At 41.6% G+C, this 16,886-nt stretch overlaps 1 protein-coding gene across 1 annotated transcript in view; it reads left to right on the top strand.

Annotated features, from left to right (window-relative positions):
- OTOP1 (otopetrin 1) overlaps nucleotides 1–16,886 on the top strand; it is a 38,204-nt gene that overhangs the window by 3,439 nt on the left and 17,879 nt on the right. Inside the window, exon 2 of the mRNA NM_177998.3 lies at nucleotides 10,487–10,623. Within this exon, the coding sequence (NP_819056.1) occupies nucleotides 10,487–10,623 (137 nt within the window). The remainder of the gene's footprint in view (nucleotides 1–10,486; nucleotides 10,624–16,886) is intronic.

The following is a 16,886-nucleotide window of genomic DNA, read 5'->3' as shown; positions in this document are numbered from 1 at the left end:
CATCATCCTCTTCCCCAGAGCTTCTATCATCATTCACTTATTCATCATCCATCCATCCATCCATCCATCCATCCATCCATCTGTCCGTCCATCCATCCATCCATGTTTTTTTGTTCTTCCTCTCTCTCTGCCTCCTTTCAGGTTGACTCCGAGCATTGGCACCTGAGTCTATGGGTGAATGGTTGCACCATTTCCCAAGATTGGGAAGCCAAAGGGAAGAGCAGGGTGGGGACACAAAACCAATGACATGTTACATTTCTCCTATGGACATGCTATGTTTGAGGTGTCTTTGGGACACTAAGTAGAGAGGGAATAAATGGGCAAGGTAGAGAGAGCACGTGATAGGTGTTCAGTAGATGACAGCTGTTTAGACATTCAGTGAGTTGCCCCATAATAATGTAATTCAAATGAGGTGTGTGTATCATGGAAATGGTGTTGGCTCTGGAAGGTTTGGCTTGAGGTCTCAGCTCTATCACCGTCACCTTTCTGAGTCCTGCTTTCCTCATCAGTAAGATAAGAATCCCAGCTGCCTCTCTGGGAGGAGCTGGGGGATGTTGAGAGAAGCAGTTTGCAAAGCCCTGGCCATTCCTGTGGGTTCCTCAAAGAAGCAAGAAGCTAATTATTAGTGTTGGGAGGCCCTGGTGCCAAAAGGAAGCACCTTCAGCCCCAACAGGGACTGGGGTTTCCTCTGGAATTCTAGCTAGAAAGACAGGTTTGACTCAGGAACTCAGCTCTGCCCTGGTGTTCGTGACAATCTTAGATCAATAGGCAGAGGGCAAGTCCCTCAGGAAAAAGAGCAGTGATCCCCAAGATCCATTCTGGGGCCACTATGAGGGTCTTGCTTAACTCCATGCATTTTCTTACATATTTGTTTTCTTAGATGATATTTCTGGTCCAGTGGAAAATATAGACATAGTGTCATGATTTCAACACAAACAAGCGAATGTGGCTGCCAAAAAATCAGATGCGGGCTTGGCTTTCATTGGAAAGGAAATCAGACTGTGTGTGGAGGGTCTCATCCTCCTTGAGCATTTCACAGGCCACTGGAAAGAGTGGCGGCAGGAGGAGCAAAAGGAGGGTCAGTCCAGAAGAGAGAAGGATGCGGAGGTCACAGGGTAGAAAGTGCTGCTGCCTTGCACCTGTCAGCTCCAGGCCATCCTCTGTCTTTCAGCAAGCAAGAGTCATTTCCTCTGGGAAGCCTCTCCCGATAGTTTCAGACCAGGGGCAGCCCCCAGGTTGTATGGTCTCATAGCACTCTTCATTTTCTTTCTAGCACTAATCAAGCAGGAGATTGTATTATTCAGTGACTGTTGGGGTAGCCAGACTGAGCCCCTAAAGGCAGAGACCCTGTCTGTGCTTACCGTTGTATCCTGAGCTCCTGGCACAGTGCCTAACATGTAGTAAATGCCAATTCGTGTCTACTAAATAATTGAATGATTGAATGATTGGATGGATGGATGGATGACTAGATGGGTGGATGAACAAGTGAAGATAGAAGCTCCAGGGAAGAAGATGATGGTTCTGGGAAGTCAACTGCACTTCAATATAAAGAAAAGCATTCTAAAGTAAGCACCAGGCCAGGCGTGGTGGCTCACACCTGTAGTCCCAGCACTTTGGGAGGCTGAGGAGGGCAGATCACCTGGGGTCAGGAGTTTGAGACCAGCCTGGCCAACATGGTGAAACCCCGTCTCTACTAAAAATACAAAAAGCTGGGTGTGGTGGGACACAGCAAATTATGAATCATTTGCTGCTCTCTGTTTTGGGCACTGGGGTTTCAGCTATGAAAGGCTCTGCTCAGGTGGAGCTGATGTTCAGGCAGAGAAACAGCAATAAACAAACAACTAATGAGCCCTCACTGGGAAGCTGGGGAGCATGACCTGTGAGACTTAGCCCTCAACTTCTAGGAGCCTGGGGGTGGGGACAGAGTAATCAGTACAGCATCCTTGAGCAGGGCTGCAACCAGGGGCCTGGGAGGAGCCCAGGTCTGCAGGAAGGCTGAGAGGTTCAGGGAGGAGGCAACACCTGCACAGTCTTCTTTCTTTCTTTATTTTATTTTTATTTTTAAATAAGGACAGGGTCTCCCTATGTCTCCCAGGCTGGAATGAAGTGGTGTGATTATAGCTCACTACAGCCTCAAATTCTGGGGCTCAAGAGCTCCTCCCACCTCAGCCACCCGAATAGCTGGGACTACAGGTGTGTGCTACTACGCCTGGCTCATTTTCTTAAAATTGATTTTTGTAGAGACAGGGGTCTCGCTATGTGGAGTGCCTGTAATCCCAGCTACTCAGGAGGCTGAGGCAGGAGAATTGCTTGAACCCAGGAGGCAGGGTTTGCAGTGAGCCAAGATCATGCCACTGCACTCCAGCCTGGACAACAGAGTGAGACTCCATCTCAATAAAATAAAATAAAATAAAATAAAATAAAATAAAATAAAATAAAATAAAATAGAATAAAATAATATATAAATAAAGTAAGTACCAGCTGGTGATGGTAGGGTACGCTTTGAGAGATATTGAGCCTCCTAGCCCTGAGCTTGTCCAAGTAGAGGTCAGATGGCTGCCGGTCATGATGCATTGGAAAGCATTCTTGCATGGGATAGAATGTAGACTAATTCTGTGGGACTTTCCACCTCTAAGAGGGGGGTTCAAGATTCTAGACTCCTAGGAGGGATTTGGGTGCCTAACAAAGAGGAGGGGGTTCCCTCTGCCATCACTGGATGGGTACCCTAGGTAGTCTTTGGATTATTCTCAAGTATTGTAGCTGGTAAACTTTCTAATTGGTTCTAATGCATCAACTTTTTCTTGGCGATTGAGTGATGATAATAACATCCCTCTTATAGAACTTTCTAGGTAAGGAACACTGTTCTAGGTGACTTCCATGTAATGACTCACTCAATCTCCTCAGCACCCCTATGAGATAGGTGTTATTACTGTCATTACATCTTAGAGATGGGGAAACTGAGGCAAAGGTAAGTTAAGTAATTGCCCAAGGTCATCAACTAATAAGTGGTAGGAAATGGGCAGCTGGCCTCTGCCACTCTATGTTCTACTGTCTTTTAGAGCATATTTTTTGTCAATATTCCACAGACATCCAACATTGTATACTCTGTTTTGAGGTATGGAAGATTTTATATACATATCAAAGCAAGTTCATTGATTGTATGATTCAATTCTTCTATGTCTTATATTTTGTCTACTTGATCTATCTAGTTCTGAAATTTTCCGTTCTGTTTTTTTATTACCAGCAGTTAAATATATAAAGCAGGGAGGCTGAGGCAGGAGAATCCCTTGAATCTGGAAGGTGGAGGTCACAGTGGGCAGAGCTTGCGCCATTGCACTCCAGCCTGGCCGACAAGAGTGAAACTCCATCTCAAAAAAAAAAAAAATATATATATATATATATATATATATGTATACATATATATGTATATACACGTATATGTATATATGTATACATATATACGTATATACATGTATATACATATATATGTATATACACCTATATACGTATATATGTGTATATATGTATACATGTATACGTATATATGTGTATATATGTATACATGTATACGTATATACACACATATATGTGTATACATATATGTGTATATATACATATATGTATACATATATACATGTATATGTGTATATATATGTATACACATATGTATACATATATACACGTATATATATTTATACATATATATGTGCATATATATAAAGCAAAAACTGTTTTATTTGGGCACACATGTGGCTGTTATATCTTCCTCATACAGTATGTCTTTTTTTTTTTTTGAGACAGAGTCTCGCTCTGTCGCCCAGGCTGGAGTGCAGTGGCACGATCTTGGCTCACTGTAAGCTCTGCCTCCTGGATTCACGCCATTTTCCTGCTTCAGCCTACCGAGTAGCATGGAGGCACCCGCCACCACGCCCGGCTAATTTTTTTGTATTTTTAGTAGAGACGGGGTTTCACCGTGTTGGCCAGGATGGTCTCGATCTCCCGACATCCTGATCCGCCCGCCTCGGCCTCCCAAAGTGCTGGGATTACAGGCGTGAGCCACCGCGCCCGGCAATCTGTCTTTTATCATATGTAGCGATAAAGGAGGAAGGATTCTTTATCCTACTTATTACATTAACTTTAAATCCCATACGGTCTGATATTAATATTGCCATTCTGACTTTCTTTTTGTTGCATTCCTCTTTGTTCACTACTTTATTTTAAACCTTTATTACTTTGTTAAAAGTGCAATTTGTGTAAAGATCATGTAACTAGGTTTTGTTTTTAATTCAGTCTTCCTATTCTTGCTTACTACTTAGTGGGAGGATTTACATCATTCTAATTTATAGTAATAATTTATACAGTTGGCTTTTTTGTTTCCATTTTTCTTTACGATGTTTATGATGATACATTTTACGTTCCTATTTCCTCCTTTTCCTTTTCCACATGTTTGCCTTTTTTGAGCATTTGAAAAATTTATTGTGATTTTTTTATTCCATTAATGGCCATTTTTTTCTTCCCTCACTCTCATAATCAGATGCATATTACTTCATTCTTTTTTTTTTGAGACGGAGTCTCGCTTTGTTACCCAGGCTGGAGTGCAGTGGCATGATCTTGGCTCACTGCAATCTCTGCCTCCCAGGTTCAAGCGATTCTCCTGCCTCAGCCTCCTAAGTAGCTGGGACTACAGGTGCCCATCACCACACTGGGCAAATGTTTTGTGTTTTTGGTAGAGACGGGGTTTCACCATGTTGGCCCGGCTGGTCTCGAACTCCTGACCTCAAGTGTTCCACCCATCTTGGCCTCCCAAAGTGCCAGGATTATAGGTGTGAGTCACCGTGCTCAGCTGCCTATTACTGCATTCTTATTTGAAAACAAAATATTGAACATTTCCCTCAGTGAGCCACACTGTGTCCCACTCCAAGATGTTTGCTGCTTCCACTTCCTCTCTACCTAATGGGATGAGACCTTTAGGGTACGTTTGCCTCCCTATTCCTTTCCCTTCTTCCCTCTCCTTTTCCATTTATTTACCATGAGGGCTTTCAAAGGTTTTTCTTTGTTCCCTATCCAGTCCTTTTCCAACTTAGGTTTTTTTTTTTTTTGAGTTGGAGTCTCGCTCTGTCACCCATGCTGGAGTGCAATGGCGCAATCTCGGTTCACTGCAACCTCTGCCTCCCGGGTTCACACCATTCTCCTGCCTCAGCCTCCCAAGTAGCTGGGACTACAGGTGCTTGCCACCACACCTGACTAATTTTTGTATTTTTAGTAAAGACGGGGTTTCACCATGTTGGCCAGGCTCGTCTCGAACTCCTGACTTAAGGTGATCCATCTGCCTCGGCCTCCCAAAGCACTGGGATTACAGGTATGAGCCACTGTGCTTGGCCAAACTTAGGGGTTTTGTAGAGATAGTTAATAGAATTTCGCCTCAAAATGTCTATTCTGTATGACAAGTCTTTATAGGGCATGTAAATTACACATCTCAGGCAGTTTATCCATTTGAATTTAAGTTCTTTTCTTCTTTTCTCTCCTATTAATCTAATTATCTATCTCCATCTGTCTCTCCATCCATTATACCTCCACCCTCCTCCAGCTTTCCACAAAGTTGATTGGTCACTATAATTTGCTCTCCTTTTCATCTTCCCCTCTTTTGGGGACTCTCTTCCAGTTCACAAGCTGCTTGATTAAAGTCCTTTGTCAGACAAGTTATGTGGATGACAGTTTTCTCTCACCCTCTGTTCTCTGTTCAACAATCACCTCCTTTCCTGCCCATGTACCTTCAACCTCAGTTCCCTTTTCTGCTTTACTTTTCTTCATGCACTTAGCACTTCCTGACATTCTTTATATGTTTACTATTTACTGGTTTATTTTTTGCCTTCCCCACTAGATGTGAAACTCCTCAAGGGCAGATACTCTATTTTATTGACCTTTATATCTTCAATGCCTGGGACAATGCCTGGCCCATGGTTTCTGCTCAATAAATAGTTGTTGAAAAAATTACATTTTGTGTATCTTCAAACATCATTCTGCCTTTTGCCCTGACACGCGGGCGACATCTTAGCTGGGAGTAAGGTTTTTGAGGTGCAGTCCTTTCCTTGCAGCACATTCCTCCACTGTCTTCTGGTTTCCCAGGCCGCACAGAAAAAGTCTGTTGCCAGCTCATCTCTCTGATATTTTGTGCACACCTCAATTTATGCAATATTATACTTGTATATTTTTGTTTCTACAGCAATCTCCTATGTCTGTCTTTGAGCCCTTGACACAATGCCTCATGCATAGTAGGAGTCCCCAAGATATTTGTTGTATAAATAACCGGGTGAATGAATCCCTGGATGAATGGATGAACACAGGAAGAAAGGGAGAACTTAAAGAGTATAAGAAAATATGTAAAGTATTTATTCCTGAACCCTTGACAAGTCAACCACAGAGATGGTCTAGACCAGTAGTTTTCAAGGTGGGGCCTAGATCAACAGTGGCAGCCCCACTTGAAAATTTGTTAGAGATGCAAATTTTGGGGCCCCGTCCACACCTGCTGAATCAGAAACTCTGGAGGCGGAGCCCAGGAATTTGTGTTTTAACAAGCACTGCAGCTGATTCTGATGCAGTCTCCAGTTTGAGAACCACTGCTGTGGACCATCCGCATTTTCTGTATGGGAATCCTGAGGCTGGGAGCAGGAAGTGACTCATGTATTCTGTGAGTGTCCAGGTCTCTACAGTTTCATGCCTGTGCTCTTGCCACTCAACCACGCTGCCTCGCCTCATCTTGCTATGTTTTTTTGTAATTAAAACCAACCACGTATTTGTCAGAACATTTCAAAGCACTGGGATCGAATCTCCACTCTTACAAAGTTTCTGATTTCATTGGGGTGTTTCCAGGATTAAAAAATAAATGTGAGTTAGAGTTGTTTCTATAAGGCTTTGAGCAGTGGAAAAGCGCCAGGCGATTGCATTACTTTTCAGAGGAGGCTTCTGAGGCTGGAGATGTAACGTTATAGCCCAATGTTATGGCTCATGCCCTCCTCTCTGCTCAGTGCCTTAATGCACGTCATACACGATCCAGTTTCCTCCTGTCGGTAGGAGCAAATGTATAAATGGCGGTCAATGCTAGCCCAGGAGAGAGAGGAGGAACTCTGACTTGACCAAGTCCTCGTGATCACTGCCTTTTTCTCACTAATTTCTTCATTTGTCACCAAGTGTCTTTTTAATGTATTTTGTATATTCCTTTCCAGTCTTTTTTATATGCAAATTTTTTATTAGTTTGTTTTTATATTTTGGGCAAAACCATGCTCATTATATTATCAAAGATTGCTTCCTTTCTTCAGTACACCTAGCACAGGCCCTTCCTCAGCTACTACTATAGAGCCCTTACCCATCTATTTTTTTTTTAAATATACTTTCAGCCGGGCTCAGTGACTCATGCCTGTAATCCCAGCACTTTGGGAAGCTGAGGCAGGCGGACCACTTGAGGCCAGGAGTTTAAGACCAGCCTGGCCAGCATAGCAAAAACCTATCTCTACTAAAAATACAAAAAATTAGCTGGGCATGGTGGTGCACGCCTGTAATCCCAGGTACTTGGGATTGAGGTTGAGGCACAAGAATCACTTGAACCCAGGAGGTGGAAGTTGCAGTGAGCCAAGATCGTGCCACTGCACTCCAGCCTGGGTGACAGAACAAGACCCTGTCTCAAATAAATAAATAAATAAACTTTCTATTTTAGAAAAGCTTTAGATTTATGGAAAAGTTGCAAAGACAGTTCAGAGAATTCCTGTATATCTGTATGACCTGCACACTCTGCACTCTTATTTCTTATATTTCATATTAATATATATATTTTTTGAGACAGAGTTTCACTCTTGTTGCCCTGGCTGGAGTGCAATCATGCGATCTCGGCTCACTGCAACCTCCACTTCCTGGGTTCAAGTGATTCTCCTGCCTCAGCCTCCCATGTAGCAGGATTACAGGCATGTACCACCACACCCGCTAATTTTGTATTTTTTAGTAGAGATGGGGTTTCTCCACATTGGTCAGGCTGCTCTCGAACTCCCAACCTCAGGTGATCCACCCGCCTCAGCATCCCAAAGTGCTGGGATTACAGGTGTGAGCCACTGCACCCAGCCAGCTGCACTCTTATTCTTTAGAGAACAGGATTTTAGGATTAGAGAACTGAGATTTTTGAGTAGAGCAGTGACATTCTTAAATTGCTCCTTTTTGAAAAAGCTTCTAGAAGCCTTCTGTTGATTGGACCAGGCTTTGTTGATTGTGTATCATTTGTCAGACTCTGGGCTATGGGGTGAGTACAATGATGAACAGGACACAGCACCTGCCTTCTAGTTTTACCTTCGCAGCTCAACAGTAGAATTCATTTATTTATTTAGAAATAATTATTATGTTATTTTTGGGTAGAGATGGGGTTGCTTAGGCTCTTGGCCTCAAGTGATCCTCCCACCTTGGACTCCCAAAGTGCTGGGATTACAGGCATGAGCCACCATGCCTGGGCTAGAATTTATTTTATTAATATATTTTTAATTGTGGTAAAACATGCACTTATATACATAAAATTTACCAACTTACCAGTTTTTAAGTGTACAGCTCAGTGGTGTTAAGAACATATACACTTTTGTGCAACCAACCTCCAGAACTTTTTCGTCTTGCAAAACTGAAACTCTGTCCTCATTAAACACTAACTCCTCATTCTTTCCTCCCTCTAGCACCTGGCAACCACCATTCTACTTCTGTCTATGAATTTGCTTACATTTGATACCTCATATAATGAAATCCTACAGTATTGTCCTTTGGTGGTTGAGTTTATTTTACTTAGCATAATGTCCTCATGGCTCATCCATACTGTATCGTGTGTCAGAATTTCTTTCCTTTTTAAACTGAATAATATTTTGTTGTATGTCTATACCTCATTGTGTTTACCTATCCATCTGTTGATGGATGCTGGGTTGCTTCCACCTTTTGGATACTGAAAATAATGCTGCTATGAACAGGAGAATACAGATATCCCCTAGGGTCCCTGCTTTCAATTCTTTTGGGTATATACTCAGAAGTGAAAATGCCAGATCATGCCATAATAGTATTTTGAATTTTTTGAAGGCCCTCCCTACTGTTTTCAATAGTAGCTGTACCATTTTACATTCCTACCAACAGAGCACTATTTCTCTATATCCTCACCAATGCTTGCTATTTTCTATTATTTTCTTTCTTTTTTTTTGATAGTAGCCATCCTGATAGTGTGATGGTATTTTGTAGTTTTGATTTGCACCTCTCTAGTAATTAGTGATGGTGAGCATCTTTTCATGTACTTGCTGGCCATCTTTATGTCTTCTTTGGAGATATGTTTATTCATGTCCTTTGCCAATTTTTCAATTGGCTTTTGTCATTGTTGATTGATTGATTTTTGGAGACAGAGTTTCACTCTTGTTGCCCAGGCTGGAGTGCAATGGCATGATCTCAGCTCACTGCAACCTCTGCCTCCCTGGTTCAAGGGATTCTCCTGCCTCAGCATCCCAAGTAGCTGGGATTATAGGCATGCACCACCATACCAAGGCTAATTTTTGTATTATTAGTAGAGACGGGTTTCACCACGTTGGCTGGGCTGGTCTCCAACTTCTGACCTCAAGTTATTCACACTCCTCGGCCTCCCAAAGTGCTGGGATTACAGGTATGAGCCACTGTGCCCAACCCATTGTTGTTAATATATAAGAATTCTCTACAAATTCTCTCATAGCAGCATTATTTTCAGTATCCAAAAGGTGGAAGCGACCCAGCATCCATCAACAGATAGATGGATAAATACAATGAGGTATAGACATACAACAAAATATTATTCGGCTTAAAAAGGAAGGAAATTCTGACACACGATACAGTATGGATGAGCCATGACGACATTATGCGAAGTAAAATAAACTCAACCACCAAAGGACAGTACTGTACGATTTCATTATATGAGGTATTTAATGTAAACAAATCTGTATATTGTGGATATTAATGACTTATTAGATATATAATTTGCTAATGTTTTCTCCAGTTCTGTGGGCTGTCTTTCCGCTTCGTTGGTAGTGTCCTGTGATGTGCAAAAATTTTTCATTTTCATGTAGTTCATCTTATTTAATTTTTGTTGCTTGCATTTTTGGTGTCATAGCCAAGAAATTATTGCCAAAGCCAATGTCATGAAGCTTTCTCCCATGTCTTCTTTTACAAGGTTTATACTTTTATATTTAGATCTTTTATCTGTTTTGAGTTAATTTTTGTATATGGTGTAAGGTGAGGGTCCAAATTCATTCGTTTGCATGTGGACATCCAGTTTTCCCACCACATTTGTTGAAAAGACTGCCCTTTTCCCATTGAATGGTCTCGGCACCCTTGTGAAAAATCATTTGACCATATACATAAGGGTTTAATACACAATATAATTTATTTTGAAATGACATCAATGTATGTTAATGCAATGTGTGTGTTTCCACTTCCCCCTTCATCCCACATTTAGGTAGTATCACATTGTTTGCAGTCATTACCGTCATCCTGGGATGCCTTAAAATTGGATACTTCATTGGATTTTCAGAATGTTTATCAGCCACTGAAGGAGTTTTCCCAGTCACCCATTCAGTGCATACTTTGTTGCAGGTAAACCACTGATGTTTATTTATATTGTCTCATTCCTATGAAGTGTATCCCAGGTTGTGTAGAAACTTGTAACATCAAGACGTGTGGCAGGTGGAGACAGTGTGCACAGCTGTGAACTGCAGTGAACTGAAATCTGTCTTTGAGGCTTAGTTCTTCAGCTGCCTCCATTGCAAAATAAAACTCTGTGTCCCCATGGCCATTTTTGCAGGGATCCTATGAGGCAGAACTTCTAATGATGAAGAGTCAGGAAATTCTGCCAAGCCAGAGTCTACAGTAAAGGCTTGAGGGAATTTTATTTTCTGGGTATGTGACAGGTTTATTGAGAGAATTCACGTGGCGTATAATTCACCCATTTAACGTGTGCAATTCAGTGGTTTAGTCTGTTCATAGAGTTATGCAACAGTTGCCAAAATCAATTTTATTTTTCTAAAAAATTTAATATTCTTCCTTCATAGAAACCTTGTGCCATTGCAGTGCCTCCTCTGGGTCATGGAAACACTTTTGTTTTCTCGTTTGGGGATTAAAATCTTTTAGAAATGTATGAGGATTGTTTCCCACAGCACTGGTAAACTTGGTGTGGCTCAGAAGTAAGGATTTGATAAATATAATTTAAATACACAGCTTAGGGTCAGAAAAATCTCATGGTTGAAAAGAATGTTAGATGGGTCTTCAGGGTAGTGTTCGCCTTTGGCAGAAATCCATGGTAATGTTATCAGAGTCAGGATCTGAACTATTGAATTGTCAGCCTCATTTTTTTTCTTTTTTATGTATATGTTTAAGATATACAACATGATTCTTTGATATTCCTATCCATAGTGAAGTGATTACTACAGTCAAGCATATTTATGTCTGTCATCTCACATAGTTGCCTTTCTTTTTTTGGGTATGGTAAGGCACCTAAAATCCATTCTCTTAGCAGATTTCCAGTATACAATACAATATTATTAACTATAGTCTTCACGTTGTCCATTACGTCTCTAGAATTATTCGTCTTGCGTATTTGCAACTTTGTACCCTTTGACCAAAATCTTCTAATTTTTCCTCTCCAACCACCATTCTACTCTTTAGGTTATTTTGTTTTTATTTATTAATTTAATTTAATTTTAGAGACAGGGTCTTGCTCTGTTGCCCAGGGTGGAGTGCAGTGGTGCCATCACAGATCACTGCAGCCTTGAATTCAGCTCAAGTGATCCACCTGCCTCAGTCTCCCTAGCAGGTAGGACTACAGGCCCACATCACCATGCCCAGCTTCTACTGTCTGTTTTTGTGCATTCGATTAGAAACGTTTTTCTAAATACCACATATAAGTGAGATTATGCAGTATTTTTCTTTCTGTGTCTGCCTTATTCCACTGAGCACAATGTCCTCCAGATTTGCCCATGTTGTTGCAAATGGCAGGCTCTGCCCTCATTTTTTTCTAACGAAGAAGTTGGAGCTCAGAGAAGACAAGTGACTTGCTCAGAGTCACTGCGGAGACACAATGATTATTTTCTTCCTGACAAGTCACCTGGAAGACCATGAACTTGTTCTAGTGATACTGCCATTGCTGGAAATATTTTTGGATTTCCAGTTTGAGAAGGTTCTTTGGAAAGTTTTCTACCTCTAGAAAACCAGGGATGACATTTTTAAAACTTCATCTTTTATCCAAAGTGACCTTCAGCTTGTACCCCCAGCTGACTTAGCAGACAGCACTGGATGACCTTAGAGTGTTTCTCTAGATCAAACACATTCTCAAACAGTGAAGCTAACAGACAGAACATGCCCAGTGAGCCTGGAAACAGTTTAGCTCCATGGTGGCTTGATGGGATCACTGGGGAGCTTGCTGAGGGGCTCATTTGGAGGGGCTGCCTTGCACTTGAAAGCTGTTATGGACTGAGTTGTATCCCCTGTGAAATTCATTTGCCGAAACCCTCATTCTCAGTACCTGAGCATGTGACTGTATTTGGAGATGGGGTCGTTTAGAGGAAATTGAGGTTAAATAAGATCGTTAGGGTGGCCCAAATTCAATATGCCTGGTGTCTTTGTTTTTTATTTTTTTGAGACAGAATTTTGCTTGTCGCCCAGGCTGCAGTGCAATGGCGTAATCTTGGCTCACTGCAACTTCCGTCTCCTGGGTTGAAGCAATTCTCCTGCCTCAGTCTCCCAAGTAGCTCCGATGACAGACACCTGCCACCATGCCCAGCTAATTTTTGTATTTTTAGTAAAGATGAGGTTTCACCATGTTGGCCAGGCTGGTCTCGAACTCCTGACCTCAGGCAATCCACCTGCCTCGGCCTCCCAAAGTATTGGGATTACAGGCCTGAGGCACCGCGTCTGGCCCTGGTGTCTTTATAAGAAGAGGAGAGAAGGACACAGACACACACAGAGAGACAGCCATGTAAAGACACTGGAGGAAATTGACCATCTACAAGCCAAAGAGAGAGGCCTCAAAAGGAACCAACACCTTGATCTTGGATTTCTAGCCTCAGGACGCTGAGAAGAGAAATTCCTGTGATTGAAGCTGATGGTCTGTGGTCCTTTGTTACGGCAGCCCAAGCTGATCAAAGATAACTGGCTGCTCATTCCAGGGGAGCCAAATCCCATGAAGACAGAGCCTTATAGTGATACAGCGACAATGTGGAAAGCTTTAATGAGGGCAGAACGAACTGCGTTCGTTCATTCATTCATTTTTCTTGCAGTTCATCTTTAAATACTGGACGAATATTGTTCTCAGCATGGGGAATACAAGGCTGCAAAATCTATGGCACACACCATAGGGGTGTCAGTTAGGTGAGAGACAGTCCCCAAAACAGTGACAACGCTGGGCTCAGTGCTTTGACCAGAGTGTCCCAGAGCAATGAGGCAGCACAAAGGAGGGCATTTCGGCAGCTTGGGGTGAGGGTCGATTTCTGCCAGGGAAGGTCCAAGAACCGTTTGTGAGAGAGGGAGGAGCACAGGTGTAGTGGGTCAGAGACCACTGGAAGAGGGTGTCTTTGGGATGTGCAGTCTTTCTTCACAGTGGGGTAGGGTAGGGGGGCGATGTGTGGGCACAGGCTGGATCCCTGTTTGGTGTACGGCTTGTAAGCTTGCACTCTGGTCAGATTGCATGACTCTGGCTCCAACCACAGCTGTGTGACTTCAGGCAAATTACTTAACTTCTCTGGGCCGTGTGGGTCTTACTTGCAAGGTGGGGACAATCACAGTACCTATTTCATAGGCTCATTGTAGAGATTAAAGGCACAGATGTATGAAAAGCACTTGGCAGAGGGCTAGGTGTGCAGCAAATTCTTGGTCAAGGCTGACCACCACCTAGGGGCTTGGGCTTCACCTCGAGGGCAGTGGGGAGCCACTGAAGGCTTTAGGCAGAAGAATGACTGGGACAGATGTGAATTTTCAAAATATCCCTCTTAGTTGGTGGGTTGGAGATCCTAGCTTTCTAATTTAAGGCATTTTATTGGCCAGGCAAGTCAATGAATTAATCATTCTATACCTGTTGGACACTTACCATGTGCTTTTGCTACATTAGATGACTGGAGAATGGAAAAAAGTATATATATGTGTATATATATATAACAATTAGGCACTGTTCTAAAAAACAGAGTATTTATTTTAAAATTGTGGCAAATACTGCCAAACCTGTAGATATCAGGATGAAATTGCTTTTGTCAGACCCAGGCAAAATAGGCCTGGGAAAGCACCAAGGAGAGGGGACTCCTGCCTACGTGTCTGAGATACAAAGTGTTTCCAAGGACTTTCTAAAAACCCTTCATGCATCTCCTGCTTTGATGAGGCTAGACATTACTAGACATTCTTTAGGACTGCAGTAAAGCAGGTAAGATGCTCTTGGAAGTACACTTGCCCAGCACTGGCATCTCCACCAATGAACTGATGACAACTCTGGCTTTGAGCCTCTAGAAACGATGAACTCTTTTTCTCAGTGGATTATGTAAATTTCTCTTTTCTAATAACAGCTCCTCCTTACCCTTCCCTCACCGAATGCGCTGGTGGCCTGCCATTCCATGCGTTCTGGATTGTAATTCTTATTTCTATTTCCAAGTAAATCCAACATATTTAGCAATAATTTTTTCTAGTGTCTTTTTTTTTTTTTAGTTTGACAATCACATAACACTTACCATCTTAGTTATTTTAAGCGTACGTTTCAGTAATGTTAAGTACATTCACTTGTTGTACAACCAATCTGAGGACCTTTTTCATCTTGCAAAACTGAAACTCTGAGCCCACTAAACAACTCTCTATTTCCTCCTCCTCCGGCTTTTGGCAAACTCTGTTCTACTTTCTGTCTTTATGAGTTTGAATATTCTAGATGCCTCATACAAATTGAATCATACAGTATTGGTCTTCTTGTGTCTGGCTTATTTCTCACAGCATAACGTTCTCAAGGGTCATCCATGATGTAGCATGTATCAGAATTTTCTTCCTTTTTAAGGTTGAGTAAAATTCCATTGTATGTCTATACCACTGTGAAAGGAAAATAAATCTTGGGGCCCCAAAATCACTAAGCCAAAGGGAAAAGTCAAGCTGGGAACTGCGTCAGGCAAACCTGCCTCCCATTCTATTCCTAAAAAAGATTGCTACAAAGATTTTAAAGATTTTAAAAAGCTACAAACCTCCCTCACAATTTGTCCACTAGGAAATTCCTTGTGGGCTCCAAGATCTTTACCCTAAAATAGCTGTGTTGAATTTCACCCTCACAATGTAAATGGATAGCTGATCCTCACAGGTACAGGATAAAGGACAGAGCTCAAAGTCATCCCTCTGCGCACCTGAGACAAATGCATACCTGATGTCTTCCTGTGCCCGACGTTTTTTTATCTTAGTAGGAATGCAGGTTCGCTGAGCTAGACGGATGCATAAGCAACTATTCCTCTACCCCCTCTCACATGTGAACCGCTGATCAAAGACTCAAAAGAATGCAACCATTTGCCTCTTATCTACCCATACCTTTATAAAAAAATTTCTTCCTTGTTTCCCAGTATTTGCCCTTTCTCTTTAAAATATTGAAGCCCTCAAAATCATCTGTAATGAAAGGCACAGACCTGTCTCCCAGATGCGTGTCCTTAATCTTGGCAAAATAAACTTCTAAATTGATTGAGACCTGTATCAGGTACTTTTTGGTTTATATTACATTTTGATCATCCACTCATCCATCAGTGGGCACTTCAGTTGCTTCTACCTCTTGGCTATTGTGAATAATGCTGCTATGAACATGGGTGGACAAATATCTTTGTGAGAACTTGCTTTCACTTCTTTTGGATATATATATATATATATACCCAGAAGTGGTATTGCTGGACCGTATGGTAATTCTAAAAAAAAAAGCAAAAAGCATTTATTTAAAAAATATAATGTAACATTACTGAGAAAAAATGGGAAAGATAATAAAAATGCACCTGTAAGGAAATCAACTGAAACCAGCATTTGCTATTGTTTTTATGTATTTCCTCCATTCCTTGTACTTAAAGTGTACAGTCTTCTCAAAGTGTGTGGGTGTAGAATTTTCTATTACAAGTTTTTCACTAAAAAAAGTTTTCAATGTTGGTAGGTAGTTTTTATAAAAAGCATCAATTAAATGGCTGTCTAATTTCAAATCACTGATAATTGCTAATTTAGTTAACTGTTTCCCTATTATTGGGCTGAATGCTTTAACAAGGAGTCACTGACTGCTGTCTGTTTTTATTATTGGTTGTTTCAAGACAGTTAATGCCCTGAATGTGTATTCCTGAGTAAGACAGTAAATCTTAGGTAAAAGAATGTGAAAGAGGTGATATGTGTAAGTGTATTTTATTTTTTACTCTCTGATTTTATTTTTATAACTAGAGAATAAAGATTAAATGAGACAAATTTATAAAATGCCTACCAGTGTTTGGCATGCTATAGGTGCTCAATATGTGTTTATCTCTAAAATGAAGCCCAAAACATTTTAGAAGCCCAAATAATGCCTGGTATATAGGAGGAGCTCAGACAATTTCAGTAAATTAGTGAGTTAACAGTGGAGAATATTTATTGAAAACATACACGCTTCTTCAGGTGCTAGTCTAAGTGATTGACATGGATCATTTCATTTAATTGCTCACAACATCCTCTAGGGTAAGTTCCTGTGGGAAAACAGATTCAGCAAGGTTCCCTGACTTGCCCAAGGCCATGGGCTATTCAGTGAGGAAGTCAGGATTTTCACAGGTCTGATACTATATAGCACCCATGATTTCAGTCCCTTCCCCGTATGCTGCTAGTGACTGCATAACCAGGGGACTGCCTAGCATATG

This window comes from Homo sapiens, chromosome 4 (assembly GCF_000001405.40).
Source record: "Homo sapiens chromosome 4, GRCh38.p14 Primary Assembly".
Lineage (NCBI taxonomy): Eukaryota > Metazoa > Chordata > Mammalia > Primates > Hominidae > Homo > Homo sapiens.
Note: the sequence above shows the minus strand (reverse complement) of the source record. Positions and strands in the feature narration are given on the sequence as shown.